General features: G+C 44.0%; 1 protein-coding gene and 1 non-coding gene across 4 annotated transcripts in view; both read right to left on the bottom strand.

Moving 5' to 3' along the window:
* Positions 1–14,763, bottom strand: part of TMEM132C (transmembrane protein 132C) — a 440,742-nt gene that overhangs the window by 406,490 nt on the left and 19,489 nt on the right. The window lies entirely within an intron of this gene.
* On the bottom strand, positions 7,244–7,330 carry MIR3612 (microRNA 3612). Its single transcript, NR_037406.1, has one exon. It is a non-coding gene; the product is annotated as a microRNA 3612 (primary transcript).

The following is a 14,763-nucleotide window of genomic DNA, read 5'->3' as shown; positions in this document are numbered from 1 at the left end:
TTTAATTCTTTGAGATACAAGTAAAAGAACAATGTTTTTAAAATAGAAAAACTTATTTTAAGGGGCAACTACTGGGGAGGCCTGAACACAGCAATGAGGCGGGAACTAGAACTGAGGTCTGGAGAGCTAACTGGGATGAGGCAACAATAACTTGCTCAGGTATTTCTGTTTTTCTCTGCATTTCTGTGTCTATTTGATTTTTCCTCCCTACACTTCCTTTCCTTTTTCATGCTTTCCTCGCCTTCCATCTCCAAGCTCTCCTACTTCTGCTTCCCACAGCACACCTCTCCTCCATTCATTGTTTGTTTCTCATCAGTGTGCATGGTAAAAGGTAGTTGGACCATGGTCCCTGAGTTTTCTGTTCATTTGTTTTGTTTGTTTGAGACAGGGGCTTGCTCTGTCACCTGGGCTGGCATGCAGGGATGAATTCCTAGCTCACTGTAGCCTCAAACTCCTGAGCTCAAGATATCCTCCCACCTCAGCCTCCCAAGTAGCTGGGACTACAGGCATACATGACCATGTCTGACAAATTTCTGAATTTTTTTTTGTAGAGGTGGGGTCCCCCTATGTTGCCCAGGCTGGTGTTGAGGCTCCTAGCCTCAAACAATCCTCCCGCTTACGTCTCCCAAAGTGCTGGGATTACAGGATTGAGCCACGATGCACAGCTGGAGCCTGAGTTTTTAATAGGCGCTTAGCTCCACCATAAATAGAGCCTGGTATCAGCCAAGATTCCATATTTCTAGGGAAGCACATCTTCTTGGTCCAGCTTGGAATGAGTGTCCACCCCTGGTTCTTAGAACTGACTGGAGACCAGAATCACTTATGGAAAATACGGCTGCTTGGTGTCCTCTCATAGGCTTAGAGTCCTCAGTGAAAAGGCATCACTGTAACTCAGGCAAACACACTCAAGAGTGCCCACCACAACTATGCTGTGAAAAACTTTCTTCACAGAAGAAAAAATGCAGGAAGCACAAGGACACACGGAAGAGACCCCTTTCTCTCTCCCATCATAATGCCTCCTTCAAATGAGAAAAACCATGAACTCTGCTTTTCAGGAAGGTCCCAGGCTCAAGGAGATAAGTTCATGAGGCTGGAACCTGAGCCAACACTCTGTAAGCTCTTCCACCTTCCTGTTGCCAGCAATAACCCCAGGAGGAAGAACAGAGGACTTCTCCCAGTCTTTCATCACAGCGGTTTCTCTTTTAAAGCCAGTAAAAAACTGCTTAGAGGACTTCAAAAGAAGCCCAATCCCAGGGAACAAAAAGTCACTGGAGCCACCCCGCAGACTTTGGCTTACGCTTATGGCTATCTCCTTAAAGCACCACCTGCTTTGATCATGGATTTGCCCAAACATGTTTACTCTTGCTCTTACCTGTCTTGAGTTTTGTATTTCTTATTGTGTCTAGTCTAGTATTGAACACTGGCCGACTGTGTCTAGACTACACTGACGGAATTATTTAAATGTGGGCATCCTGCCCCGGTTCCACTGGCACCTAACTCCTGGTCTCTTCCTGGTGTGGGATGTGGGATGTGCCTACCCAGCTCAGTGCTAACATCTTAGAGTTATGTGAACCCACCTGCAATCACGTGTAGGGGTGAGAGGTAGGGACCACATTTCATAGAGTGAAGACCTGGAGGAAAGGAAGAACCTGGGCTGCATGCAGCTTTAGAGACCCTCGGCAGCAGGATTTTCACAAACCTTTACCTTAAGGTGACCAAGCTATACACCCTTGCCTGATTCTCTCCAACCTTCTACCAAAGTTCTCTCTATACGAAAAACAATCTGGAATTGTTTTCAAATTTCAAATTTGATTTTCTCCCATTGCTTGAGAGGAAGACAACATCTATTCTCTCACATCTCTGTTTTACTCTGTGTGTTACTGTCTCGCTTGTCTCTGGTTCTCATCTGGGTCCTCTGAACTGGCACCATCAGCTCTGTCTTTCTAAGAGCATCTCAGTAGCCATGCCATCAATAGCTGGTGAATTCCGTGTACATTGCTTAACTCAAAATCTCATGGACCAGCTCATCTAATGAGACCAGCTCATCTTTTCAAAACCAGGCATCCAGGTATACATTAACCACCCAGGGATCAGGTGTTTCTTGTGGTTGACTCAAACATGGATTCAGTGTAGAAGATGGAAATTGCATGGTATGAAACATGGCTGCCTAACAATTAGGGCTCCAAGGCAGCACAGAGCCCCTGGGACAGTGAGTCTCATGACCAATATCTCTAGTACAATTTTGAGTTTTCAGAAAATTTATCACCTTCCAAGCTCCAGAGTGATGGTTAAAAGGTAAAGGTTGAACACAGGGCTCAGGGTCAGGATACATGGATTTTCATACTAATCCTACCGTAAGCCACCGTGAGGAAGTTATCACATTCATCCCACACACATGTGCTGTTGCTCTCAGCGTTAAATACCAACACTGTATGAAAAATCCAATACCACACTGGGGAAATGATAGTACATACAACCAAATAAAAGAGAAAAAACACCCCTGTTTTCATGGAACTTCAAGTTAAATGGGGACAACATGTATGAGCACATATCTGCAATCCAGGGAAATGCTGTGCAGGACAGGTACAAGGTGCTCTACCAGCGACCTTGGTCCACTCCCCACTGGGGAAAAACATTCCCCCAAAGAAGGCAGCTGAGGTCCTCAGCATGAGTAGATGTGGATCAAAGACAACTCCAGCCTCATCTGCAAAGTTCGTTTTCTTCCCCCAAAGAAATGTCTTCCTGTGAGGATACAGAGGTAGCAGGAGGGAGGCTCTGATGGCACAGTTTAGTGTCTTCAGAGCAGTGGCTGCAGGCAGTTACCCACAGGATGCAATGGCAAAGAATTATGCAGGCACCTGCCGATGCTGGTTTCCTGGCTGTGAGTCGTACGTACCGTAGTTACGTGAGATGCAATCACCAGGGAGAGCTGGGTGAAGGGGACTTGGGGCTCTCTGTACTATTTTATGCAACTTCCTGTGAGTCTCTATTTAAAAAAAAAAGTTAAAACAAATAAACAGACAAAAAAATCAACATAACAATTGCCCTGTAGGAAGAACATTTTGCGCTGTACCAGTTGCCCTTTCGGAAGGAACACATTCAACAAAACACAATGCACATGGCCCGGGGGAGGAGAGGGCGGGAGAACCTGAGGCTGGAGAGCCTGGGGAGCTCCACCACAGAGGGTCATGGGTTAGTTTCTGGAACAATGGGAGCCGCACTGGGGTCTTAAGCAAGGGAATAACATGATTAGATGTGCATTCTCACAGGTGCTCTCTGGCAACATCCTGAACCTGTACTGGGCAGAAGGAGAGGAGATAAAATGGGATAAAAAGAGGAAAATGCTTTGTAACCTTTAAAGCTACATTCATAGCTAAAGGCGGGGTGAGATTACCCCACAGGCTGTCACACCAAACAAAAGCAAAACAGGGAAACTAACATGAAGGAGGGAATATTTTTGTAAATCATTTGATATTGAAGTCATCATCATGAGAAAACAAATATTTTGTTGGGTTTTCTTCCATTTGCTTTATGGCTAAGTACTATTTTAATTGTGAATTGTAGACAGGTTGAGCAGGGCCCCATAATTTATTTTCAGTGCTTGGGGTCTCTAAGGAGGTAAATGATTGGGTTTTAACTTTTTTTTGAAAAATTATAGAGTTTTTGCTTAAAATCATGTGGGTGTCAGAAGGAAAAAGTTCAGAAGAGATACCAAATCCTGGAAAAAGGAAAAGAACTGTGCCCACCAGGAGACACTGCTACACTCTCTGAAAAGATTTGGGGGTGAAGGGTCAGAATTAAAGTCAGACCTTCTCAGTTCAAGTCGAGTGCCTTCAAAGCCAGCTTTTGCAGGCCTTGGTTAAATGTTAACCCTAAGCAGGAGAGACTAAGTGGGAAAGATTCAACATCAGTTAAGGCAAGACAGTCACTATCCCAAGGAGGGCGAAGCTTATTAGAGACCCGGAGCCATGATAGCACCCGTAAATTACTTAGACGCATGACCAAGGAGTAATCCAATAATCCATTTATGACTTTAAATGAATCTGGCTGCACACTAAACCCCTTCTGAGTTTACAAACGTACAATATTCACAGCCACTGGCCTCCTATCGGCAGGAGGCCATCACGTCCAGCCCAACTTCTGCATGGTGTTCACAGCACAGAAAATTAACCAGAGCCAAGCAGTCAATACCATATTATCCCCTTCACTGCAGTTATTTATTCTATTTGTTGCTCTTCATTTCAAGCCAGCACCAACTGAAAAGATGGCCAGTCCAGCCCCTAAAAACAGACCCTTGCTGCTTTCTATTGAATCATGAAAGTTTAAAAAGGGGAAAACTTACATATGCACTTTGCAATTAAGAAAAAAAAAAGACCATTTGACGGAATTACAGCTGTATTTCCTACATCCATAAAAACCTGGGATTTATTTTGTCCAAAGATCACGGGGTGTGTTTTGGTGAAATATGCAGTTTGGGAAGTCTAGTCTAAATCTAGCAATTCCCAAAATGGTACAGAGATAAATATCTTTTATTTATATTATCATATATTTATTTTAATGCTGGTTAGAAGAAAACACTTATAGTATATCAAACCCTGATGTTTTAAAAATAGTTTTGCTAAATTAAAGAAATGCATCAATTTAAAGGAAAACATGAATTTCTTGCCTACTCTTGACTTTATTGCCCCATCTTCTTCCTCATGACACTCACAGTCATGAACCTGACGGAGGACAACTTCCATTCTCAGGTCCAAGTGTTGTTCTATCTATCCCTTTAAGGCGAATCCAGCTCCCTTTCTAGTGACTGGCTACAGAATGGCTCTGTGCTCTAAATATGACCAGAAAGACAGAGAGGAAAGACAGAGAGGAAATTAATGGCTGGGCTGGCCCTCCTTTGTTTTTGAGAGAAGCCTCTGTAAAGCTGGCCACTCCTTCTAGCCATAAACATATAAACTGTGTACCCTAAATACCAGTGTCATCTCTCCTGTGACCATGAGAACAACCAGTCTTGGGGTGAAGCCAGGATGTCATTAGAGAGACAGAAAGACTTTGATCATTAAGGGGAGCAATAAGCCACTGCATCAATTAACCTGGAAACCACCCTACTTCTGGAGTTGCTTTTTAAGATAATATGTTTCCTTACCATTTAAGGCAGACTGTATTCGTGTTGTTATTACTTGCAGCCCAAAGCATCCTAATTATAAAACGTGAACCTCCAATGATTGGGAAACTCAGGTCTCAATGCTGGATAGGCCCTGAGTCCTGTCTCCTGGGTTCAGGCATCAGGCCAAAAGCTTTGCATCTCAAATCAACAAATACTCTCAAAACAAGGGTGCTACTTCAGTAAATATAGGGGACAAAGAGAGACAAAGGGACTTGGACACTAGGAAGAAAGGGAGGCAAGGGGAGGTACAGAGAAAACCAATGTTCACTCATTCTTGCAAGATGCATTTCACTGCTTATTATGTGTTGAATATCCCATTACAACCTGAAGATATGGAAGGTAATAAGGAAAGGCCCATGTCTTCAAGAAATGACAGAGCAGAGAGAAAGACAGAGGAATGTACAACTAAATATGGTCTGAAAAGTACAATATTCTACAAGGATCAAGAAGGAAATAGGAGAAATTTTTAAGGTTTTTTTTTTTTAATTGGTGCTTAAAACTGAAATCTATGACTGGACTGGTCTCTGATCACTGAGCAGAATTTTATGTGGGGCTCTTATTTTTCTTCTTTCTTCAGGTTGTACCCCACCCTTTTTTCTTTCTTTTTTTTTTTTTTTTTGAAGGACTTAAAAGGCACATCAGTAACATTGGAGGGCAAGTCTAAGAAGTCGGGTAAGGAATGAAAGCATACCCAGGGGAGGGGGTGGAAGGTAGCAGGCTGTTACAGACAGGACGCCCTGGACATCACAGTTTCAAGGCGGTCATTATTTATTTTCCATGTGACCCTACACGTCTCAGTTTTCTCATCTGTAAAATGGGGATGGAACTGCCTTCCCCTCAAGTAGGTCTGAGGCTGAGAGGGAATGATGCTGATGAAAGGTCTTAGTGAATAGCTATAGCTATACCAAATATTTATTTTGGGACTGGGTGTGTTGACTCACACTTGTAATCCCATAACTTTGGGAGACTGAGGCAGGAGGACTGCTTGAGGCCAGGAGTTCGAGGCTGCGGTGAGTTGTGATTGTGCCACTGCACTCCAGCCTGGGCAACAGAGCAAGACCCTGTCTCAAACATAATATAAATTTATTTCTAGAGCTAGCTCCATACAGAATTTCAAAGAACCTTGGGGCACTTGAGTACTGGCATCTATTTGTATACAAAACAGGATGAAACAGGATAAATCATTTCTTTCTCAATTTTTTAATTTTTTTTTTTTGCTGGGGGACAAAGAAGCTTGAACTTCTTATCTATCTACCTATCTATCTATCTATTATTTATTTATTTAGGGCTCACACCAAGCATTGGTTCCTCAGATACAAGTCAAAGATGAGGAAAATGGAGGCATTAAAATATTTGAAATCTGACTACAAAATGGCTGTGTTCTAAACGTCTTTGTTCCTTGAAAATTCATGTGTTGAAATCCTCCTCTTCAGAATGGAGGTCTTAGGAGGTGGTACCTTTGGGAGGTGATGAGGTCACGGGGGTGGAGCCTCATGAATGGGATTAGGGCCCTTATAAAAGGGTCTAGGGAGATTCCTCTCCCCTCCACTGTGAGAGGACATAGGGAGAAGCCCTGTCTATGAACCAGGAAGCCGGCTCTCACCAGATAGTGAATCTGCTGGTGTCCTGATCTTGGATCTCTGGGCTCTGGAACTGCAAGAAACAAATTCCTGTTGTTTAGATGCTTCCCAGTCTCTGGTATTTTGTTAGAGCAACTAGAACAGACTAAGACAGGTGCCAATCATAAAATATCAAATTTCTTCCCATGCTCAGAGTGCCACCAGCCATTTCTCCAATGGCTTGCATTTTCTACTCTTTCCAGAATTAGAGAGGGAGAGGAAGTCAGCTGAAGCCTGAGTCCTGTTAGGGCCACCTTGCTGTGTGAGTCACTGAAGTGTGGTTTTGCTGCTGTTGAGCATTGTTGGCTGGTTTCTGCAGATTTGGTAAGCCCCAGTCTCATTCAAAAGCCCCAAAAGTGAGACGCGTGTCTGGTCTCCTTGCTCCTGTTGGTCTGCTAGGCTTGTTCTACTAGGACACCTTTGGACACCTTCCCATGGGCGGTTCACAGAGGAAGATGCTGAGCTAGGGGTGTCAGGACGCCTCTAGTGAACTGGAAGTAGATCCCATTCCTTCCATTTCTCAAGATGCCTCCTCATCCCCAGTCCCCAAAGTGAATGACTGAAGTTTCTACTGCTCTGCAAAACCCAAGATAGGTCACCATTTTATTCCATTCTGATTCCCCCAGCAGACACAACCACCTGATTCCCCTTCGGAAATATTCTGCACCAAATGAAATCCGAGTGAGGTCATTAATTATGAAAATTCACAATGCGTAATTATAATAATTACTCTGATCACATAAACATTATACCACCATGAATAATTTAATAGGAATTGTGCTTTTGAAAAGCATGGCAATTAAAATAAAACCCAGGGAGGTGACAGAGACGATGCGGGAAATATATGCTCCAGTTTGTTCAGAGGAGGCTGTGCAGTCTCCAGAATGCTCACTCTTTGCCATAAAGAATCACTCTCGACCTTAGGAGGTTGGGAGACAAAGAAGGCAATGAGAGACCTGAGAGTTTACAAATGGGCTCCACTCCTGAGAAGTGGAGATCAAGAGTTCAAAGAGAGGCTGTTTTTCCCCTAAATAAAACAAGTTCAATCATCTTTATCTTTATCCCCCAGCAAAATAAAATAAAATAAAAAATCCTGATTGAAGAAGAAATGATTCATCCTGTCTGGACACCAATTCTCAAGTGCCCCGAGGTTCTTTGAAATTCTGTAAGGAGGTAGCTCTAGAAATAAATACAAGTTTTCTGGCCTCCCGATGGGTGGTGTGTACAACTAAGCAAAACAATCAGGGTGAAGGGATTACATTTTGCACTAAAAAGAAGAAATAAGACCAATTTACCCTGTGACTTTTATTAACCATGACAAAATCTTTTTTAAGTACCTTACTAAGTTTGTGAACAAGCAGCAATTTCTGCAATGAAACGGCCCCCTGAGATTAGGGAATTAAGTTATTTGGAATGGTTGGAAAGGAGAGTTTATACTGTGGAGAGGTGCAAAATGAGACCAGAGGGAGTTTGGACCCAGTTTTTAAAGAGGATCCTCTGTCCTCACTGACAGCAATCCAGGAGACACTACAGGTTCAGATTTGCACACTCCTTACCGTTCACAAAAAGCTGAACTATTATCTTGCTGTCCGGCTTTCAAATTTTTTGAAAATCAAGGTCTACTGTAAGAATCACATTTTACAACACAAGTTGGTGCTCGTGCTTGCATATACACACACACACATACACATACCTACACCAACACACAGAAAACACAGACCTACCATGTGAAATGTGCTCTATTAGGAATAGAATTTCTATGCTATTCTGTTTATGAAAGAAAACTGCTGACAGCAACAGTCTATCAAGTTAATTCCACTGTGTCATGATCCACAGTTCTTATTGTACACTTAACAGACACTTATGAAGTGCCTCATCTAGGTACTAGGGTACCTAGGTACTAAGTACACTTATGAAGTACCTCATCTAGGAATTTAGGTACCTAGGTACTAAGTACACTTAACAGACACTTATGAATACCTCATCTAGGAACTTAGGTACCTAGGTACTAAGTACACTTAACAGACACTTATGAATACCTCATCTAGGTACTAGGGTACCTAGGTACTAAGTACACTTAATAGATATTTACAAAGTACCTGCTGTGTGCCCAGCACTCATCTAGGTACCAGGGTTTCAGTACTGGCAACAGAGACAAAATCTATGCCCACGAGGAGCTTACATTCTACTGGAACAAGTTAGAAAAAACCATTGACAAACCCATTTCTTACAACTGCTGGGTGAGGAAGTTGGGCAGGGATTGTCAAAAACAGGTTCAGGTGGGGAAGTGTGGGCCTGTCTCCCTTGTACACAGCAGGAATCTCAGGGAGGCCGGCTTTGTTTCCAAGGCTTTCCTCTAAGTTTTGCCTTTCATTCTGTTTGACCACGATTCTTTTGACTGCAAGAAACAGAAAGCAAACTTGAATGTGCATAAGAAAAAAGTGATATTTTGTCAGAATTCAGCCAGAAAAACAAAACAAAACAAAATGCTGTAGTTACTGGAACAGAAGGGCTTAAACATAGGAATTGATTACGTAGTGAGGCAAGAGTTATGAAGCAGAGACGGATGGTGAGACACCTAGATACCAGCGACAGGAGGGCACCCCGCAGCCCTAGGGGAGGAGGAACAATGGGTCCCAGGGGGTTTCCAGGGGCCAAGGCCACCCGTGGGGCAGGGTGCAAACCAGGACACAGTGCGCAGAAGCTGCCTCCGGTCAGCCGGGGTTCCTGAGACGCCCTGGCCATCACTGCAGGCAGTCCAGGAAGAAAAGCAAGAAAAGGAGAAAAGCACTGTGGCTTTCCCCACTTCAATCTCCCTCCTGTCTTCTGCCACTGCCTCAGACAGGACTAGAATGTGTCCAGAAGCCAGAAAACAAGGGAACCTGGGAGGTGCAGTTCCCTATAATCCAGAAGTGAGCAGGGGAAACAGGATGGATCTGAGGAAGGAAAGGCAGGCACTCAACCAGCACAGGACTCAACCAGCACAGGTATTGAGTGGGATTGCTCCAGGGCATATCCCTGAGTTACGGGAACAGCAGGACAACTGAGCCTTGGGAAAACAGGAAGCTAAACCAGGGACCCCAATCCCTCCCAGACTCTCCTCCCCCTTTCACCTATTTCTGCTGTTCTGGGAATCCCAGCATCATCTCCTCCCGCAGCAGGTCGGCTGCATTCACACAGTTGGTGCGGGCTGCAGGCAGCTCAGCCCCTCAGTATCAGCCCATCCAGGGGAAAAGGGCACCTGGCACTGTATGGAGATGTTTTGGTTGTCATCAGCGAGGCTGGATGCTGCTGGCATCTAGCGTGTGGGGACAGAAACTCTGCACTATAGGGTGAAAACGGTACCTACACCAGAGGGGAACTGGACTTCAAAGGACTTCATTTGTGTCATGACTCCTGGGAGGTTTGCAACACCTCTATAGATATTTATTTCTTCTTGGATGTACTTGCAGGGGAATTCTGGGATCGCCTTGCAGCTGGCTCAGACCATAAGAATGTCCCTCGAGAATTTGGGGATTCCTGTGCTGCTCGGGTCATCCAGCTCTTTAGAGGCCTAAGAGCTGCAGGACCTCACCTCACCAGGAGGATGGTGCACTCACCTACAGCACGCTCCAGTTCAGTGGCTTTCATTGTGGAAAAGATGTAAACTTCCATTTGGACCAGCAATTCTCAACTGGGAGGGGTGGGATATGTATACATCAGAATTCTGAAATGGGTTTAGCATTAAAATGCATATTCAGTCATTTCTATTATGAAATTGGGAAATCACTTATTTCTTTTTTTTTTTTTTGTTAAATGAGCCACAGAAGGCAAAGTGAATCTATTTGTTGTTCTTTTGGCTTGGAGAATAAAGAACAGGATCTTTAAGGGATCATGTTCTCTCCTCTGAGAGAAGGAGTGGAGAAAAATCTCTGGATTTTTATGTTTATTTGGAAAGGGCATATATGTTTAAAGTTGGGAAATGCTGACTTGTATGTTGGTTGATGGGCCCAAGCCCAGCAATGTCCTGGTCTGGAATAATTCAGCACCTGGCCAGGGGGGACCCTATTTGACAATTCAATGGGGCTATAACTCCCGGTGGAACAGTGCGTCACACATCTTCAGTGTCCGATATGGTTTAGCTCTGTGTCCCCACCCAAATCTCATCTTGAATTGAAATCTCCACATGTCAAGGGAGGGACCTGGTCGGGGGTGAATGGATCATGGGGGCGGCTTTCCCCATGCTGTTCTCATGATAGTGAGTTCTCATGAGATCTGATAGTTTAAAAGTGTGGCACTTCCCCCTTCACTCTCTCTCTCTCCTGCTGCCATGTAGGACGTCCCTTGCTTCCCATTTCCCATGACTGTAAGTTTCCTGAGGCCTCCCAGTTATGCTTTCTATTAAGCCTGCAGAACTGTGAGTCAACCAAACCTCTTTCCTTTATAAAATACCCAGTCTCAGGTACTTCTTTATGGCAGTATGAGAATGGACTCATACAGTGTCCCAGCATCACACGCCCTACTGGGTTTTATATGGTAGGAAATAATGTTCCTTTCTGCACCTTTGGATCCAGCCTTTCAGAATTTCAGAAAGTAATTCCTCCACCTTTTCTGGAAGCCCTTTTTTCACATTATAGGATAGGGCACGCAATCCAGAGGTTCCATCAAGGAAAGAAAAGCAGCTGATATCAGATCTGCCTGCCCATCTTCATCAGGGCCTCAGGACAGGGTTTGCCTCATGTGAAATATGAGATAATTTGAGGTGAAACATAGGACCTTTAAACATGCTATCAGTTATGTATTTAGCTTGATGTTTTGGGGAAAATGCAATTAGTATGTAAAACAGTGACTTTCATGGAAATGATTGCTTAGGGCAAAGCTCAGATTAAAAGACTTGAAATAGAGAAAAGCTGTTGTTAAGTAAATGGAAGTGCAGATGATACCAATATAGGCCAAAAATTATTGAGAATCATATAGGGCAGACTGCAAATTAGAAAATGCTGATTTAAAAGTTACCAGCAATTTTCTGTCTTTGAAGATGGGGACGTTAAATACACCTCTTGGGCCTACTTTCTTTCAGAATATTCTCCAAAATGTGTTGTGAGTGTGTGTGCTTGCATGTGTTTTCAGCTGCACCCCTATAAACCAGGTACGCCGTGTTCTTGGAGAAAACTGTAAAGTTACCATTAACTCTAATGAAGATATTCACTGTTTTGGTTAGTCACGCAAATAGATGTACTAACAGGACTGTGCCCCACGGAGTTAGGGACATTTTTAAATTCCTAAATCTGGATTTAGATTCCCTTGTTCTTAAAAACTAACGGCTAGTCACAAGGCTGCATTCACGTATGTGTGTCTGTGTGTGTGTGCGCACATGAGCATGTGTGCGTGTGTATAAGTGTGCATGTATGTTAACATGTGAGAGGGTGTGTATAGGTGCATATGCGCATTAATGAACAAGTGAGAGTATGCAGGTGTATGTGTGTGAGTGCATGCGTATGAGCGTGCATGTATGCATTACAGTGTGTGTTAGCGAGCATATGTATTTGTGCACGTGTGGGCACACATGTGAATGAACGTGCATGTGTGTTCATGAGTGTGTGAATGTGTGGGAGGTGCATGTGTGAATGTGAGTGTGCATGTGTGCGCTAATGAGCATGAGCGTGTGAGCACATGCATGCGTGTGTGAATGTGTGACTGTGTGGGGGGCGGTGCACACATGCAGGCCTGTATGTCTAAGCATCTTCTCCGGGGCAGTAAAAGCCAAGAAGAGCTGGCTGTCCTGGGGAAATCAAGGGAAGGAGGGGAAAGCAAGAAGATGTGAATTTCCCTCAGCCCTCACTGAAGGGAAGGTTGTAAAAGAAAAGGGCTTATTTAGCCTGTGACTGTGACACTCAGGTACAACAGCATGTGCCAGACTTCAGAGACTACAGTGGGTTTGACCCATGAATATATAAGAGTGCCAGCCTCCACAGTGACATGGGGCCCCTGTTGTCCCTCACCGTTCAGAAAGTCCTGTTGAAATTCCCACCAGCTCTGTGTCATGCTGGGGGAGCTGGGAGCCTGATCTCCTCCCCTAGTGCTGCCTGGGAGACAGCTGTGCCCATGTGGCTGTCCCAGGGAAAACTCAGTGGCAGAACTCTACTAGATAAAGAGGCAGGGCCAGAAGAAACCACTCACGCCAGAACAGGACAGCCCAGACCCAGCTGCAGGGGAGGGAAGGAGAGGAGGGTGTCCTACTCAGAGGCAGAGGGCTTCTGAGCCCTTCAGCCACAATAATGGGGACATTAAAAGTAAGAGAGGGCTGGGCGTGGTGTCTCACGCCTGTAATCCTAGCACTTTGGGAGGCCGAGGCAGGCGGATTACCTGAGGTAGGGAGTTTGAGACCAGCCTGACCAACATGGAGAAACCCCATCTCCACTAAAAATACAAAATTAGCTGGGCGTGGTGGCACATGCCTGTAATCCCAGCTACTCAGGAGGCTGGGGCAGGAGAATCATTTGAACCCGGGAGGCAGAGGTCGCGGTGAGCCGAGAGCACGCCATTGCCCTCCAGCCTGGGCAACAAGAGCAAAACTCCATCTCAGAAAAAAAAAAAAAAAAAAGTAAGAGAGGATCCTGCAGGGATAACTGTGGACAACAGTGATATTAAGACTGCACCAAACACACAATCATCCCAATTCAGAACTCAATGTCCGGAAGGGCTAGATCAATTCGAAATGAATGCAGCTATTACCTCCAAATCAACACGGATCAAATTGAGGGACATTCTTCTAAAAAACCTGGCCTGTACTCTTCAAACACGTCAGAGTTATGAAGACAAAAAAAGGCTGAGAAATTGTTTCTGATAAAAAAACACAAAGAGACATTACAAGGAAGCACAGCATGAGATGCTGGACCAACAGAAAAAATCAGTTTTCTTTGGCTTTAAATAACAGTAATGGAATAACTGGAAACATTCGAATAAAGGAGGCAGATACATAATAGTACCATAGCAATGCCATTTTACTTTGACCAATGTGATTATATCAGAGAATTGCCTTATTTTAAGGAATACACATGATAGAGGTATAATGTGTGTAACTTACTAATAATTAATTCAGAAAAATTGCACCTAGAGACACACACACAGATAGATATAGATATAGATATAGATATAGATATAGATATAGATATGCAGACAGAGGGGGAGAGAGAGAGAAACATTCAGACAAAGCTATTAAGAAAAATACTGATAAACAAACCTGGTAAATGTTAATTTGGAGGAATCTAGGTGAAAAGTATGTAAGACTCTTTGTACTATTTTTGCAACTTTTCTGAAAGCCTAAAATTATTTCCTAGTAAAAAGTTTAAGACAATATTTTGATGCAGGAAGTACTTTATACAGAGTGGGCAGGATTTAAACCAGAGGTTCTCAATGCACCCAAGGGACATTTGGCAATGGCTGGAGACATTTTTGGTTGTCATAACTGTGTGGGCAGGGAAAATGCTGCTGGCATCTAGCCCTGCACAGGACACTCCCCCACCCCAGCAATAAACAATAATCTTGCCCAACATGTCAACAGTGCTGAGGCTGAGAAACTCTGACTGCAAAACTTAAAGGAGAAGGAACAAGATTTCTCACAGACATGATCACAAGTAGTGCTGGCAAAACCGCTGCCCTTCTTGGAAAAGCAGCATCATTTGGCAGAGATAACATAGTTTTTCTTCGTCTTCTTTCTCTTATTCTCTTGACCAACATCTTTACTCTTTCTACCCCTCTCTCTCAAGTTTTCCAGGATCCTGTTCAATGGACAATAATCTCACGTGCCCGGCACTCCCTCTCTCCCTTCTTCTGGTACCAACACGTCCCTTCTTCTGGGAAGGGATCTCAAAACTCCAGCTGCATGGACTGGATGGGAACTTCAATGTCTGTGTGGATCTTGCTGCTTTGGCCTCAGGTGACTGTGTGCCCAAACTGAGCCACTTCTAGTATCTCATCCTTTCCATCAAAGTTCAGTGG

The sequence above is a fragment of the Homo sapiens genome, chromosome 12, assembly GCF_000001405.40.
Source record: "Homo sapiens chromosome 12, GRCh38.p14 Primary Assembly".
In the NCBI taxonomy this organism is placed as follows: Eukaryota; Metazoa; Chordata; class Mammalia; order Primates; family Hominidae; genus Homo; species Homo sapiens.
This window is presented reverse-complemented; position numbering and strand designations above follow the sequence as displayed.